We start from the raw sequence: 16,435 nt of genomic DNA, 5'->3' as shown, positions 1-16,435 counted from the left end.
CTATTTTCTGTTAATTTTTTACTGATAAATGGAAAAATTCTTTTTTTTTTTTTTTAAGCTTTATTTTCAGGGCTCTTTTTCACAAAGTAATCTTTTTTTTTTTTTTTTTTTTGAGACGGAGTCTCGCTCTTTCACCCAGGCCGGAGTGCAGTGGCGCTATCTTGGCTCACTGCAAGCTCCGCCTTCCGGGTTCACGCCATTCTCCTGCCTCAGCCTCCTGAGTAGCTGGGACTACAGGCGCCCGCCACCACGCCCGGCTAATTTTTTGTATTTTTAGTAGAGACGGGGTTTCACCGTGTTAGCCAGGATGGTCTCAATCTCCTGACCTTGTGATACGCCTGCCTTAGCATCCCAAAGTGCCGGGATTACAGGCGTGAGCCACTGCACCCAGCGAAAAATTCTTATATAATAAAATTAGGTGGAGAAAATAATGGGTACTACCATATAGACAGTATGAGTTGAACTATAAAAATCCTCCAAGTACATATACAACACACATACCCCAAAAGACAACAGAAATGACAGTAGGTTAAATCACAGGTAGTTTTTAATATCCTTTTTGTACACTAGAGTTTTTCATATTTTCTACAATGAGTAGATTTTGCTTTCATAATCAGAATGAAGTGGTATTTTTAAAAAATTACGATCTTGCAAATCTTCAAGCCATGTATAAATAATGACTGCAGATAGGACACCTCCTCCCTCATGAGGAGACACAGTGTGACAAGTGGCAGCCATTGGTGAAAGAGGTCAGCATAGCAGCCATCAGAGCACATAGTATGAGTGTTGCCTATCACGTGTAGATTAGTTTAGCATATGGCATGGGTTAGTATATGGATATGTGCCACTTAAAAGCCAATTCTCTAAATGTGCTAAGACTTAACATTACCAAATTAATAAAGTTGAGATAAATAGAGGAGTAAGACCTGGTATCAGCCTTAAAGGAACTTGCTCTAGTGGGATTAGCAGATAGGAATCAGCAGGTCAAGAATGAGACTAGGGCTGGGCACGGTGGCACGTGCCTATAGTCTCAACACTTTGGGAGGCCAAGGTGGGCGGATCACCTGAGGTCAGGAATTCAAGACCAGCCTGGCCAACATGGTGAAACCCCTTCTATACTAAAAAATACAAAAATTGGCCGGGTGCGATGGCTCATGCCTTTAATCCCAGCACTTTGGGAGGCCAAGGCGGGCGGATCACTTGAGGTCAGGAGTTCGAGACCAGCCTAGCTAACATGGTGAAACCCTGTATCTACTAAAAATACAAAAATGAGTTGGGTGTGGTGGCGGGTTCCTGTAATCCCAGCTACTCGGGAAACTGAGACAGGAGAATCACTTGAACCCGAGAGGTGGAAGTTGCAGTAAGCTGAGATCGCGCCACTGCACTCCAGCCTGGGCGATAGAGTGAGACTCCGTCTCAAAAAAAAAAAAAAAAAAATGAGACTATGAGACTATTTGTGGGTCGGGAATTCACCAGACGCCTCACACAGAGCTGGTACGCAGTCAGGCTGATAACAGAAGAGCAGCTCGTCTGTGTACTTCAGCAGTTTATTTGGGGTTTTTGCCATGATCCAATAGGATAAAGTACTTCAGGTTTGGTTTGTGAAAAATGCATTATAAACTCTATTATATAAATGGTAGTAATTGTTTGCCAGTATGTTCTTAAAGATGAAAAAGATGTATATGTAGTCACAGTTGGTGTTTTTCTTACCTCCAGAGAGCATAGAATCAAAGTTAAAAATCAGAACTAAGATTAGGACTAAATTGCCCTAGTTTCAGCTCTGATGTGATATCTGATCTACTTATATTTTCTCATAGCCACCGGTCACTAAAAGTCTAGTAACAAACTGTAAACCAGTAACTGACAAAATCCACAAAGCATATAAGGACAAAAACAAATATAGGTAAGTAGTACACGCATACTCCCTTTGTTTAGTATAAGAGTAATCACAAAGGTCTGGCTTTTTTATAATTCTACAATATTTTGTCTATTAAGCACTGTTCTAAAATTTATATGAGATTGTTTGCTGTAGTAGTATTAAAAGTTTAAGTTATTTTGTGGATGTTGAGTCCACTACGGTTTTAAAAAATGTATTTTCTATTGAAGTTTTATTTTTTATATCCATGTAATTATTTAAACTCTTCAAATATGTTTTGATAATTAGGTTTGAAATCATGGGAGAAGAAGAAATCGCTTTTAAAATGATTCGTACCAACGTTTCTCATGTGGTTGGCCAGTTGGATGACATAAGAAAAAACCCTAGGTACTGATTTTTATATATAATTTTTAATTATGCAAATAAACCTGAATAAAAGGACTGGAAAGAAGGGAGTAGCTTATTTCTGTATGGAACAGACCAAAAGGCCTAACAGTGCAGGCAGTGTTGGAGCTGGTGGTTGAGTGAGAGATAGGAGTTGCAAGTTGAGATAGGGTCCCCCATGCAGAGGGATGAGCCTGAACTTCGAAGAACTGGGTTCTATTAATAACAAGCTGTTCAGAGAGACCCAGGGACAGATCGCATTGTGGGGAGGTGAGGCCAGGCAGCTGGGACATTCTAGAAATGCCTTTTTAGAATTATGGCATTTCTAAAAAGGTACTTCCAGAACAGTTGTTTAGATGGAATTCAAAGTAAAGTTCAGATTAGCTTTTGAGGAAAAAGGAATGCTACCGTAAATGTGAACCTTAATCCAGTATACTCCAGCCATCCTTTGGGGATGAATAAATTTTCAGGTTTACCTAAGTCTTAACAATTTCTTTACTAGCCCCTTAACTGTTACTTTAGCAGGTTTGATAAAATGTGCTAAAAATATGCATTTTTGAGTTTTTAACTTTAGTGGGAAGTAGATGTTTCATCAACTTCTTTGGAAAATAAAGACACTGGCATATAAACTATATTTTTTTGAGACAGGATCTCACTCTGTTGTCCAAGCTGGAATGCAGTAATGCAAACATGGCTCACTGTAGCCTCGACCTCGTGGGCTCAAGCAATCCTCCCACCTCAGCCTCCTGACTAGTGGAACCACAGACATGAGCTGCTGCACCCAGCTAAAATGGAGTATTTTTAATTTCTGGGTCTTTTAAATGCATTTGGAGGTCTTTAGTTTTACCTCACTGAAATTAGGATTTTAATTATAAATAATCAAAGATGTGAACCTTACAGACATTTTAAAGCCATTATATTTTTTCTATAAACCCTGTTCTCGTTTGGAGGAGAAAGAAATTGGAATTTTCAAAAAAAATAAAAATACCTTTAACACCTATTTAGTGTCTTTAGTAATCCAGTAAAATACTTGATTTTTTACAAAATGTTTCCCACAAGCCAAGCAAACCATAAGCTACAATAATAATTACCTAGCGTACAGCCCTCTTTGCATATGCTGTTCCCTCCACTTGAAGTGTACTGTTTAATTTCTTAAAATAACTTTAGCTTTTAAGAACCAATTTTGATGGGAGTACAGACTTCCCCCATTTTCTTGATGAGTTCTCTCCGTCATGTGTAGTAATAATGTGAGAATTTGCAGTTTTTAGTTGTAGCCTATACTTTTAGGTCTTTGTGCCAATTTGAAAGTTATTGGGTTAGAGTATTCATAGACATTTTCATGGTACTTAAAGGGACAGGGGTTTAGTAAAAAGACACATGGCAAGCCAGGCTTTTTCCACAGTTTGCCAGGCCCAGCTGCCTCTTGTGTACCTGAACAGATTTTATCATTAACCCTTGTTTATGTTGTTTTGTTTTATTTCGACGAAGGCTTATTTTAAGTCAGGCATGGAAAACTAGACTTCAGACTGACTTCAGCTTTAAGGACATGTTTATCCCGTTAACAGGGAGTCTGGGATAGACAATCTCCAGGCTTTGTTTTTCTCTGAATTTCTTAGCTCTGCTTGTGATGGCTTCATCATCAGGCCACAGACCATTAACACATTCTAGAACTTTAACATTGGTTAAATAATACCATCTAATAGCCTGTCTTCAGCATTTCCCCAGTTGCCTCCAAATGCCCTTCATAGCTGTTCTCTGCCTCTGTTTGTTTTTAATCCAAGATACACTCAAGGCTCATATATTAGGTTGACATAGCTCTTTAGTATCCTTTAATTTAAAGCAGTCTCCAGGTTTAGAGAAAGATGAATGAGCTTTCACATACCCCTCACTTGTCTTCTTCAGAAGTGTAGGCTACAACTAAAACTTCCTTCTTCAGAAGGAAGACAAGTGATTTATATTTATTTACTTCCATTTCTATTTGACCTTGTTTCATCTAAACACACCCACTCCACCACTGCTACCTGATTAATATTAAGTGAATCTCAAACATTGTATCATTTTAGCTCCACGTTTTTTGTATGTATCTCCAAAATATAAAGATTCTTAAAAATATAACCACAATACCATTATCACCCTAAAAAAATCAATAATGATTCCTTAATATGACCAACTACTTTGTCAATGTACACCTTTCACTCCTCTTAACTTTCATAAAGACTTATGTGTTTTTTTGGTTTTTAAGTTTGTTGGTTTGAAGTTAAATCTATGGGTTTTCCCTCCATCTCTCTTTTTTTAACCGTATAATTTTTTGCATGTGTATATGAATAAATCTGATTATAGATTCTATAGCTATCTTACACTTTGTCCCTCTCTGATTGAATCCTAGTTAACAAGTTTCTATGTCTCTTGTATTTCCCATAAATTGGTAGTTGGATCTGAAGGCTTTATCAGGTTTGTTTGATTTTTTTTTTTTTTAATTTTGGCGAATCTACTTCAAAAGTATTGGCCTACCTACAAGCCACTTTAATGGGCCCTTAGTTTAGTGACCTTTGCCTTGAAAGGAACTTGAAACAAGCAAGGAAGCACCACTGTAATCTGCTTTTTTGCCAGAACTGTAGCATCTTACAGCTTGGTTAGAGACATAGTAAGCAGAAATTATCAAATTCATATAATCTGTAGCTATAAGGCACTGTCTCTCTCTCTCAATTATTTACATGATTTTTCTTTGTAATATAACTATCATTTCAGAGAACTTGGTTTTGATTTTTTTTTTTTAATCTTTTTGAGACAGAGTCTCGCTTTATCACCCAGGCTGGAGTGCAGTGGTGCAATCTAAAGATTGCTGACTGCAACCTCTGCCTCCCGAGTTCAGCAATTCTAGTGCCTCAGCCTCTCGAGTAGCTGGGATTACAGGCATGCCACCACACCCGGCTAATTTTTTTGTATTTTTAGTAAAGACAGGGTTTCACCATGTTGGCTAGGCTGGTCTCAAATTTTTGACCTCAAGTAATCAGCCTACCTTGATCTCCCAAAGTGCTGGGATTACAGGCATGAGCCACCATGCATGGCCTTCAGAGAACTTGGTTTTAGGTACTTACGGATTGTCTTTCTTTTTTTTCCTCACTGCAGCCTCTCCCTCCCAGGTTCAAGCGATTCTCCTACCTCAGCTTCCTGAAGAGCTGGGACCACAGGCACGTGCCACCACATCTGGCTAATTTTCATATTTGTAGTAGAGATAGGTTTCGCCATGTTGGTCAAGCTGGTCTCAAACTCCTGACCTCAGGTGATCTGCCCACCTCTGCCTCCCAAAGTGCTGGGATTACAGGTGTGAGCCGCCATGCCTGGCCACTGATTGTCTTTGCTAGCTGCCAACAAAATATTCTAGTCAGTTAACTACATTTATTGAACAATTAATTCAGGACACTCTAAAAGGAAGTCATTAAATTAATTTACTCCCATAGCTAAAAGGCCATCTACCCTAGTTCTCTTGTTTTATACGTGAGGAATATCTAAAGAAAAATTTTATAGAATATCATTCCCCCAGAGAATCATATCAGCAAATATACCAACTTGGGACATAAGTCCATTTAAAATATATTTGGAATCCACATCCTTGTTTTGTTAGGTCAGGATTATCCATATGTAACTAATAACCCTGGCTCTCTGTTATTTCAGGAAGTTTGTTTGCCTGAATGACAACATTGACCACAATCATAAAGATGCTCAGACAGTGAAGGCTGTTCTCAGGGACTTCTATGAATCCATGTTCCCCATACCTTCCCAATTTGAACTGCCAAGAGAGTATCGAAACCGTTTCCTTCATATGCATGAGCTGCAGGAATGGTAAATTCTCATGTTTTATATATGCATGTGTGTGGGTGAGTGTATACATGCATATGTATCTATATGTTAGTGATGAAATGTTTTTTTTATGAAATTTCTCTTTTTATTTTTTTTTTTTGAGACGGAGTTTTGTTCTTGTTGCCCAAGCTGGAGTGCAATGGCGCAACCTCAGCTCACTGCAACCTCCGCCTCCTGGGTACAATGATTCTTCTGCCTCAGCCTCCTGAGTAGCTGGGATTACAGGCATATGCCACGAAGCCCAGCTAATTTTTTGTATTTTTAGTAGAAACAGAGTTTCACCATGTTAGCCAGGCTGGTCTAGAACTCCTGACCTCAGGTGATCCGCCCGCCTCAGCCTCCCAAAGTGCTGGGATTACAGGTGTGAGCCACCATGCTCGGCCAAAATTTCTTTAACGTGTTATTTGCTCTTTAATTTCTTTGTAAAATGTATAGTTATAATTTTTATTGCGTTTAATATTTGAAAGACATTTATTTGCATTTTAAGGGATTTGAAAAAATGTGTAACTGGGTTCTTTCAGTCTAGTTGGAACTTCATTTATTCAACTGTTTGTTGACCAATGTGTAAGTGAAGGGATTGTTTAGTATAAAATGAGAGGTACATGAGGTCGGTATGTGCTGAGCTGATAGTGAAAGACTTTGGGGAAAATGAATTAAACTAAGTCCTGAAGGCAGAATCTCAGAAGTGGTGAGAAGGGAACAATGAGCAAAAGCTTGGAGGTGGGAATGATCAGGGCAATTTGGGGGCTAGCCCAGCTTAGTTGGAGAATTCATACTGAAATAGTGGAGTGTAAACCTGGAAAGGTATTAGGAGCCATTTCATTCAGTACTTCAACAACCAGACTATCTGGTTAGCCTTTATAACCAACCAGGAAACTTTATAATGAGTAAAGGATTAGGTTAAGCAGTTTGTTTTGTTTTGTTTTGTTTTGAGACAGTCTTGCTCTGTCACCCAGGCTGGAGTGCAGTGGCATGATGTCTACTCACTGCAACCTCCACCTCCTGGGTTCAAGCGATTCTCATGCCTCAGCCTCCCGAGTAGCTGGAATTACAGGCATATGCCACCATGCCCAGCTAATTTTTGTTATTTTTAGTAGAGACAGGGTTTTGCCAGGTTGGCCAGGCTGGTCTCAAACTCCTTGGCTCAAGCGATCCTCCCGCCTCAGGCTCCCAAAGTACTGGGATTACAGGCCTGAGCCACCGTATCCGGCCCTAATTTTCATTCTTATATTTGTTAAATCAGCTAATTTATTGAGTATCTACTGTGGGAATAATCACTAGCAATATTGCGTGTTTAAGTAACAATACCTTACTAAGGCCTTTTTTTTTTTTTTAACTTAACTGTAACATGGTACTTGACTAAGAGCTTTTCATGCACATTCTCATTTAACTATTCTAACAACTCTGTAGTAGGTCCATTTTATCCTCAGCACAGCAACAGGAAGTAACTTGCATAAGGCATCTCAGCTCCTGAATGGGGGAGCCCGCGTATGAACCTGGACAGCCCATTCCCCAGATTCTGGCCTACAACACCTACTAAGTGTGCTTCATCATCATCACTGCCGTCAGAGTAGCTACCCTTTTTCTTGAGAACCTGTTGTACGCCAAACACTGTACTGGGCAAGATATTTACTCTCTACAATTAAAAGTATTGTTATTGCCATGTTGCAGATGAGAACATAGTAATGTGAGTTGAGTAACTTGCTCCAGCTGAAGTAGCTGGCAAGTGGCTGATCCAGCCTGACTCCCAGTCCTCTGCACATTCCACTATATTCCAAAGCTGCTTTATAAGTTTTCTTCATCTTTCATTCTACTGCCATTGCCAACATTTAATTATAAAGATAATTTTATCTTTCAGTTTAGGAAGATTTTTGACCCTTTGCTTGCCTCTCTGTGCCAGGTGCTAGGAATACTAAGATGAAAGGCATGTGGTACCAGGCCTTGAGATGCTCACAGTCTATCCAGGGAGACAGATACCAGGCAAATTGTGATACAGTATATTGAGGGCGGCAATAAGAGTTCAGTGCAGCTGGTGTACGTAGGAAGGACCAGCTGATTCTGTTACAGGAAGGTGACATTTGGACTTGATTTTGAATTATGAAAATGACACTTCCATGTAAGAAAGAGCATTCCTGGTAGAAGAAATGGCATGTGCAAAGGCACAGAGGTGTAAGAGAGTCCTGTGTCGAGAAAAAAGATTGTGAAAGGCTGTATTTGAATTAGACTTTTTTCTTTTGAGAATGGACCCCCAGGAGAGATTTTTTTTTTAGATGTTTGTCATGATCAGACTTCATGATTTGAGATGATAACTAGTATTAGTGGGGAGGTTGGAGTGGTGAAGAAGTTACTTAGAGTGGGGCAGGGTTGCCTGGGAACTGGAGGCAGGGAGACAAGTATATAAGCATTTCACTAGTCCTAGAAACAGTCAGTCAGGTGTGAACCAAGGATACAGCCTAGGCAATAAAGAAAAAGCAATAGACGAACTGGGAGACACTTTAAAAGGGAAATTGGCAGACCCTGGCACTAGAACTCCTCGGTATCTTGGAGTTGGGCAAATGAGACAATTAGGATGAATATTGCTGCTATCTTTATGTTTTTATTTTCATAAGGAGAAGTTATTACTGAATCATGGGTCTTGTCTCCCAGAAATGGCAAGGAATGGCTTCTCACCGTTTTCACTTTCCCTTAACTCAGAGGAAAAAGATCTTTAGGTGGTTCTAAGTGTTAACTCCCCAAATTCAATTTGTGACTAAATTTACCCTCAAGGGTCCATTTGAATAAGAAAGAAGTGGGCTTAAAAGTAATTTGAGAGGACCTTGATTTCTGTGCTGTACAAATGGTGTGAATCAGGTGTGGGTGCTCTTGCAGTCATTCCCCTGCCCTGGAGGTTGCTTGCTCCTCATCCTGCTTAGTTCTGCATTGTCTCTCACTGCACTGACACTAGACATTAGTTGACAGAGCTGGTTATGATCCTATTAACAGAAGTGGGAAATACAGGGGGAAGAGCTGTGTGTGGGCGAGTGCCGTTTTGGATGTGTGACTTGAGGTAGAGACGCCCAAACAGTGGAAAATGAGAATCTGTAACTCAGCACAGAGGCCAGAGTTTGGTAGTTACTAGCATATCTTCCAAACCTATGGTAAGCATTTTTATTTAATCTTCGTAACCAATTGTTCATTATTTCCAAATTACAGATGAGGAAATGGCTGTACTGCCTCTTTTTATCCTCAGTATTCTCTTGGCTCCAGGTCCAGTTGATTCTACCTCAGGAATGTCTCTTCTGTTGCTTATTTCTTTTCATTGTCACTGCTTCCTTTCATGCCTGGACTAAAACTAAACTGCCTGCCTTCCTTGTTTGTCCATCCTTCAAATGGCCAACATGTTTACCCTGATTATGTCACACATACCCCCACCTGTCTGTTTCATCCACTTTCCCACTAGAGTGTTCTGTCCAGACCCCACGGTGTGGTTTTGCAAAGCAGCTGCAGTTCATACCCTCTCGCCTTCACCTGGCTTAGTTCCCCCCATGCTGCCGCATGGATTCACTCCACTCAGTCCTGTAGGGCCCAGCTGGCCACCGTGCCACTCTACTGCTCCTTCTCTTTCTCATCCATATGCTTCCTGTCCCCTTCAAGGCTTACAGGAAATGCCACCATCTCTGTGGCACTGTCCTCATTTCTCTAAGTTTTTCACATGACTTTGCTTTTGATAATGCATATTTCTGTGTCTTATGTGATGGCAAGTCATCAGTCAGCATGTCAGCAACGCCTCAGTTTTCTAAACACTTAAAAGCAGGGACTTCATCTTGTTCATCTCTCCATATACGCAGGAAGTATTTATCAAGAAACTGAGTGAATAAATAAGTATGAGTGAATAAAAATGAATGAAAGAGTGGTTTTGTTTAAGTGCCAGAAGTAATTTTCTTTTGAAGTCCTCTCTCCTGCCTGGATAACTTCACTAATTCAAGTATAATATTTACTATGACATAATAAAAAATCTGAACTCGTGTTGGAAATGTATATTGTGTGAGCATTTTAGAATTGCAAGACAATGTTTTTGTGTTTCCCAACATTGTTTTTATAGAACTAGTATATAAATAATGCTTAACTAATGGTAGTGAAACCATATACAGAAGTACATAGTTGCTTTCTTCTCTCTGCACAGGAGGGCTTATCGAGACAAATTGAAGTTTTGGACCCATTGTGTACTAGCAACATTGATTATGTTTACTATATTCTCATTTTTTGCTGAGCAGGTAAGTTTTATATATTTTATGTGGGTATTAAATGGTATTTCTTGGTATACTAGCATCTGAATGTTTTAGAAAATGATACACATTTACAATCAAAATTTTAACTTCTCTTATTGTCTTATAGCTCATATGTGAATATGTTAAATATGTTTCACAATATTCAGGCAGCAAATATAACAGTCTTTTATTCATTTCTCTTCTAAATCCATTACCAGTATTCTTTTTATCTGGAACTCAACAGATTAACTTGTAGATATCAGGCTAAAACCAAGTAGCTCTAAGTATTTATAACCAAAAAACCATCTAGAATCCTTATCTAATGTTAATTTTCTATGGGTCTCCAATTTTCTTCCTCTCTTTCACGCTTCCTTGAGTGAGCACAGTGTCTTCAGACATCCCACGGTTCCGTTGTGTTGTCCCACTCACACCAGTAGCTCCCATTTATCTTTCTTTCAATCGCTAGGAGTTCTCCCTCCTCTCTCCTCCTTCCTCCTCTCCTTGTCAGCCCCTCTACACCTGGGCTTTCCTCTGCATGCATGTACACACGCAGCCTCCTTGAGGTGAGTGTCCAGAAGTCGGAGGGAGATTTGTGAGGTAAAGAGAAAGGGATAAGAGAGTCCTCATTAGGCTATTCACATATCAAATACTCTGAAGAAAAAGGATTGAAGGAGGGGAATGGGCATCTTTACCAACCTGACTTGGGTGTGGCAAGTGACTTGGCCTCTGCCTCCAATCAAGGTGACTATTGAGTGGAGCTTTTCTAGCTGTCACTCAAATGAAACGTACACCAAGTTGACTTATACCAAGAAGGACAAGCACCTAAGTACTGAGAGCTTCAGGATAAATGAATGGGCTTCTTGCTGTAAATGGAAGGAAATTCAGGAAACAGAGACTGGGCAGGTGAACAGGACAGCAACTTAACCTTCATCTGCTTTCCAGGGATTGTACATCTTGTTCTTGATGTCTGTTACCATTGTTCCTGGCAGGTAAAAGTCTTATGAAAAATCTCAGAAAGGCTGTACCTGCTTTTAGAACAGGGTCCAGTGAGAAACCTTTGAGTCTGCTGTGCTGACCTAGGATGGGGAAGGAAAGGAGCCCTGACTCAAAGGAGCAGCCATTAATGGAAAGGAAGAGGAGTGTCAGTCTTTCCTCTATCTATACCAGTAGAGAATAGGGAACTAGAGAGGCAGTCTTTCCTCTATCTATACCAGTCTATCTATACCAGTAGAGAATAGGGAACTAGAGAGGCAGGAAGAGGGAAGGGAAGGGCAGGTTAAATCCCAACACTCTGCTCTCTACTGGAGTCAAACTCCTTCCTCCTGCCATACCTGCCACCTTCACAAACAAAGCAGCCAATGCTGCCTCTTCCTCCCCTCCCAAATTCCAGCTCATCATTCAAACCGTGGTGTCTTATGTTTGGGCAAAGCCCTGCCTCCTCCTACAGATGAAGGAATAAGCCATCATATCAACCCAGAGACAGTGTCTTATGGCTAAATAGAGCCAGTTTCCTTCAATAGAAAGACTTGACAAATGGACATCTTGAAAATAAATATGCTTTGGTAATAGCTGTGTAAAAATCTGTAGTTGTAGGTCTTAGAAAAATGAAGCATGGGCCGAAATAATTTTAATCCTCTTGGGTCTCTTTGTGGGCACATATCTAGGCATACTGTCCCTACAAAGCTAAACAAAACTAATATTTGTTTTTGTTTTGGAAGAGGAATGATGGAGATTTGTTTGTTGTCTTTTTAATGTATAAGATTGTGGAAATGATTAAGGTCATATGGCTCTTAGAAAGTTTGATGCACTTATATTCTTTCATCAACGTGAGAATTAAAATGTATTTTCTGTCTTTCATCATTTAGTTAATTGCACTTAAGCGGAAGATATTTCCCAGAAGGAGGATACACAAAGAAGCTAGTCCCAATCGAATCAGAGTATAGAAGATCTTCATTTGAAAACCATCTACCTCAGCATTTACTGAGCATTTTAAAACTCAGCTTCACAGAGATGTCTTTGTGATGTGATGCTTAGCAGTTTGGCCCGAAGAAGGAAAATATCCAGTACCATGCTGTTTTGTGGCATGAATATAGCCCACTGACCAGGAATTATTTAACCAACCCACTGAAAACTTGTGTGTTGAGCAGCTCTGAACTGATTTTACTTTTAAAGAATTTGCTCATGGACCTGTCATCCTTTTTATAAAAAGGCTCACTGACAAGAGACAGCTGTTAATTTCCCACAGCAATCATTGCAGACTAACTTTATTAGGAGAAGCCTATGCCAGCTGGGAGTGATTGCTAAGAGGCTCCAGTCTTTGCATTCCAAAGCCTTTTGCTAAAGTTTTGCACTTTTTTTTTTTCATTTCCCATTTTTAAGTAGTTACTAAGTTAACTAGTTATTCTTGCTTCTGAGTATAACGAATTGGGATGTCTAAACCTATTTTTATAGATGTTATTTAAATAATGCAGCAATATCACCTCTTATTGACAATACCTAAATTATGAGTTTTATTAATATTTAAGACTGTAAATGGTCTTAAACCACTAACTACTGAAGAGCTCAATGATTGACATCTGAAATGCTTTGTAATTATTGACTTCAGCCCCTAAGAATGCTATGATTTCACGTGCAGGTCTAATTTCAAAGGGCTAGAGTTAGTACTACTTACCAGATGTAATTATGTTTTGGAAATGTACATATTCAAACAGAAGTGCCTCATTTTAGAAATGAGTAGTGCTGATGGCACTGGCACATTACAGTGGTGTCTTGTTTAATACTCATTGGTATATTCCAGTAGCTATCTCTCTCAGTTGGTTTTTGATAGAACAGAGGCCAGCAAACTTTCTTTGTAAAAGGCTGGTTAGTAAATTATTGCAGGCCACCTGTGTCTTTGTCATACATTCTTCTTGCTGTTGTTTAGTTTGTTTTTTTTCAAACAACCCTCTAAAAATGTAAAAACCATGTTTAGCTTGCAGCTGTACAAAAACTGCCCACCAGCCAGATGTGACCCTCAGGCCATCATTTGCCAATCACTGAGAATTAGTTTTTGTTGTTGTTGTTGTTGTTGTTTTTGAGACAGAGTCTCTCTCTGTTGCCCAGGCTGGAGTGCAGTGGCGCAATCTCAGCTCACTGCAACCTCCGCCTCCCGGGTTCAAGCAGTTCTGTCTCAGCCTTCTGAGTAGCTGGGACTACAGGTGCATGCCACCACACCCTGCTAATTTTTGTATTTTTAGTAGAGACGGGGGTTCCACCATATTGGTCAGGCTTATCTTGAACTCCTGACCTCAGGTGATCCACCTGCCTCTGCCTCCCAAAGTGCTGAGATTACAGGCATAAGCCAGTGCACCCAGCCGAGAATTAGTATTTTTATGTATGGTTAAACCTTGGCGTCTAGCCATATTTTATGTCATAATACAATGGATTTGTGAAGAGCAGATTCCATGAGTAACTCTGACAGGTATTTTAGATCATGATCTCAACAATATTCTTCCAAAATGGCATACATCTTTTGTACAAAGAACTTGAAATGTAAATACTGTGTTTGTGCTGTAAGAGTTGTGTATTTCAAAAACTGAAATCTCATAAAAAGTTAAATTTTTGTCTGACACTTTGATTTTTAAATCTTTGAGGATTGAGTTTACTGTTACTCAGATTCAGCAGTCACTTGAGTGCCTTTACTGTGTATCAGGTTCTGTGCTGAACATTACTAAAATTAAGTGGAAAGTAAGGAAAGATTAGTATTATACAGAAGAATGTTGCTTTATGGGGGGAAAATAGTTTCTAAATGGAATTTATCATATGGTAAAATTTAGGATATCTGGGTATCATTATAAAAGCTGAGATTTATTCTAGAAAAGTTAGAGAAATGAACATTTGTCTGTAATGACGATTTCTGTGGTTAGATGAATATAGTCCATACCTAATTAGGAGCTTGATAATGGGATGGATAATACAATCATAGGCTATTCATAGACTCATTCTAATGATTCTGTGATTCAGTAGAATCATTAGAACAGAGGAACCTCAGAAGTTGATGAGCAGTCAGATGGTCAGAACCATTTGTTCAAATCCTATAGAAAAGGTCACTCTGTGTTTTAGTTTTTTTGTGCTGCTGTAACAAAATACCTCAGACTGGGTAATTTACAAAGAACAGAAATTCATTTTCTTACAGTTCTGGAGGCCGAGAGTCCAAGATCAAGGGGCTAGCAGGTTTAGTTGTCTGGTGAGGGCTGCTTTCTGCTTTTAAGATGGCTTCTTGAATGCCGTGTCCTCACAGAGCAGAAGGGCAAGAAGGCACAAACTGCCTCTGTCAAGCCCTTTAATAAAGACATCTAATTGAATTGATGAGGGCTCTGTTCCCATGACTTATCACCCTCTGAAAGCCCCACCTCATAATACTTTTAAATTGCCAGTTAAGTTTCAACATGAATTTTGGACAGATAAAAATTCTGTGATACAAAAGAAGGAAGGCTGCTTCTCCTGCCTGATTCTCAAGGTGTTCCCTCCAGCTCCCAGGCCCTTCGGGCAGAGTTTCAAAACAACTGTCTGGACGAACCCTTGCTTTTTATCGGCAAGGACACCAAGGCCACGGGGATGACATGACTTGCTCAAGGTCTTACAACCAGTTAGAGGAAGAGGTAGGGTGGGAACCCGGGTTGTCCCTCTTTCCTGTCCCCACCAGCCCATGCTGCCTCCCCAGGACTGTGGCACATGTGGGTGAAGAGCACACTCTGCAGTCAGACTACGGGAGTTCAAGTCCTGGATCCTGGACACTGCTTGCCGTGATTTAGCTTTCTCTGCCAAAATGTGGGAGGCAATACTGGTAGCTACCACAGAGGCTTATGGTGATAATTAGAGGAAATGACATGTGCAACACACGCAGCCCAGTGCCTGGCAAATAGTCCTGCCTGCTAAATGTCAGTGGTGATGATGGTAATGATGAAAATTCGTGTTAAAGACTGTTGTCCAGGCCAGAGGTGAGGCTCCTAGTCTAGTCATTAGGGTGAGATGATTATATTGCTCTTAGCTAAAAAAGTGACACATTTTCTAATTACAAAGGATTTTTTTAACCTACCTTATGTCTTCAAAAGTGTTTTTTGTTTGTTTGTTTCTTTTGAGACGATCTCACTCTGTTGCCCCAGGCTGGAGAGCAGTGGCGTGATCTCAGCTGACTGCAGCGTCAACCTCACAGGCTCAAGCAGTCCTCTCACCTCAGCTTCCTGAGCAGCTGTGACCACAGATGTGCTCCACCACACCTGACTAATTTTGTTTATATTTTTGTAGAGACAGGGTCTTACTGTTATCCAGGCTGTCTTGAACTCCTGGGCTCAAGCAATACTCCTGCTTCGACCTTCCACGGTGCTGGGATTACAGGTGTGAGCCACTGTGCCTGGCAAAAGTGTTCATTTTGAAAATTATTTCTACATATACCAAGAAGTATACAAATAATAACAGATTAAGCATTTAAACTAAAGGGTAATCACTACTTACGTCAAAACATCTAAGGAAGAAACAGCACCAGTCCCACACAAATTCTTCCAGAGAGCAGAAAAAAGCAAAATACAGTATCATCCAACTCATCCCTTGAAACACAACCCCAACAGTAAAACTTGGCTCAGATACCACAAGACAAAAACCATGGGCAGTCTACTGCAAAAGAATCCCAAACAAAATACTAACAGGCCAAATTCAGTTATTCCCAGAAGAACAACACTTCACAGTCAAGTGGGGCCTACTCCAGGAATGCAAATTTGGCCCAACACTTGAAAATCAATTCACCACATCAGCAGGACCAAAAGAAACTGGATGATAATCTCAACAGATCTTTCTTTAAAAAAGATCATAAAAAATTTTAAAAAGACCAATAGATGAATTCTCATCTGCTCAACAGTTATCAAGACTTTGCCACATTTATTCATGCTCCGTTTTTCTTTGTGATATGTTTTAAGGGAAATCCCAGGCTTCCTTGTGACAGGAGTACAGAGCCATGGTGGTTAAAGGGATGTGAAGGGGGCTTCTTGTCAGTCTAATTGCTTTTCTCCTCTCACTTGCCCTAATAACAGCT

The 16,435-nt window shown here is 40.0% G+C and overlaps 1 protein-coding gene and 1 long non-coding RNA gene across 4 annotated transcripts in view, besides 2 other annotated features; one reads left to right on the top strand and one right to left on the bottom strand.

Annotated features, from left to right (window-relative positions):
* Positions 1-13,976, top strand: part of GNPTAB (N-acetylglucosamine-1-phosphate transferase subunits alpha and beta) — an 85,461-nt gene extending 71,485 nt beyond the window's left edge. For 2 of the 3 annotated variants that reach the window (NM_024312.5, XM_011538731.3), the window contains exons 17-21: positions 1,818-1,903; positions 2,165-2,263; positions 5,936-6,103; positions 10,284-10,374; positions 12,234-13,976. In NM_024312.5, coding sequence (NP_077288.2) covers positions 1,818-1,903; positions 2,165-2,263; positions 5,936-6,103; positions 10,284-10,374; positions 12,234-12,311 — 522 coding nt within the window. In that variant the 3' untranslated portion in view covers positions 12,312-13,976. Of the gene's footprint in view, positions 1-1,817; positions 1,904-2,164; positions 2,264-2,908; positions 3,261-5,935; positions 6,104-10,283; positions 10,375-12,233 lie in introns of those variants that run through there. The other variant, XM_006719593.4, reaches the window with a different exon arrangement.
* LOC124902997 (uncharacterized) lies at positions 14,508-15,485 on the bottom strand. Its single transcript, XR_007063424.1, has 2 exons — positions 15,446-15,485; positions 14,508-14,687 (listed from the first exon to the last, which is right to left on the bottom strand). It is a non-coding gene; the product is annotated as an uncharacterized LOC124902997 (long non-coding RNA).
* Positions 15,398-15,507: an enhancer, noted in NCBI's record as "active region_6866". NCBI's record gives its function as "activates an Ori minimal core promoter by ATAC-STARR-seq in GM12878 lymphoblastoid cells {active_cell/tissue: GM12878}" and the evidence as "EXISTENCE:reporter gene assay evidence [ECO:0000049][PMID:35858748]".
* Positions 15,628-15,717: an enhancer, noted in NCBI's record as "active region_6865". NCBI's record gives its function as "activates an Ori minimal core promoter by ATAC-STARR-seq in GM12878 lymphoblastoid cells {active_cell/tissue: GM12878}" and the evidence as "EXISTENCE:reporter gene assay evidence [ECO:0000049][PMID:35858748]".

Source organism: Homo sapiens, chromosome 12 (genome assembly GCF_000001405.40).
Source record: "Homo sapiens chromosome 12, GRCh38.p14 Primary Assembly".
NCBI classification, from domain to species: Eukaryota; Metazoa; Chordata; class Mammalia; order Primates; family Hominidae; genus Homo; species Homo sapiens.
The sequence above is the reverse complement of the archived record's forward strand: the minus strand, read 5'-3'. Positions and strand labels throughout refer to the sequence as shown.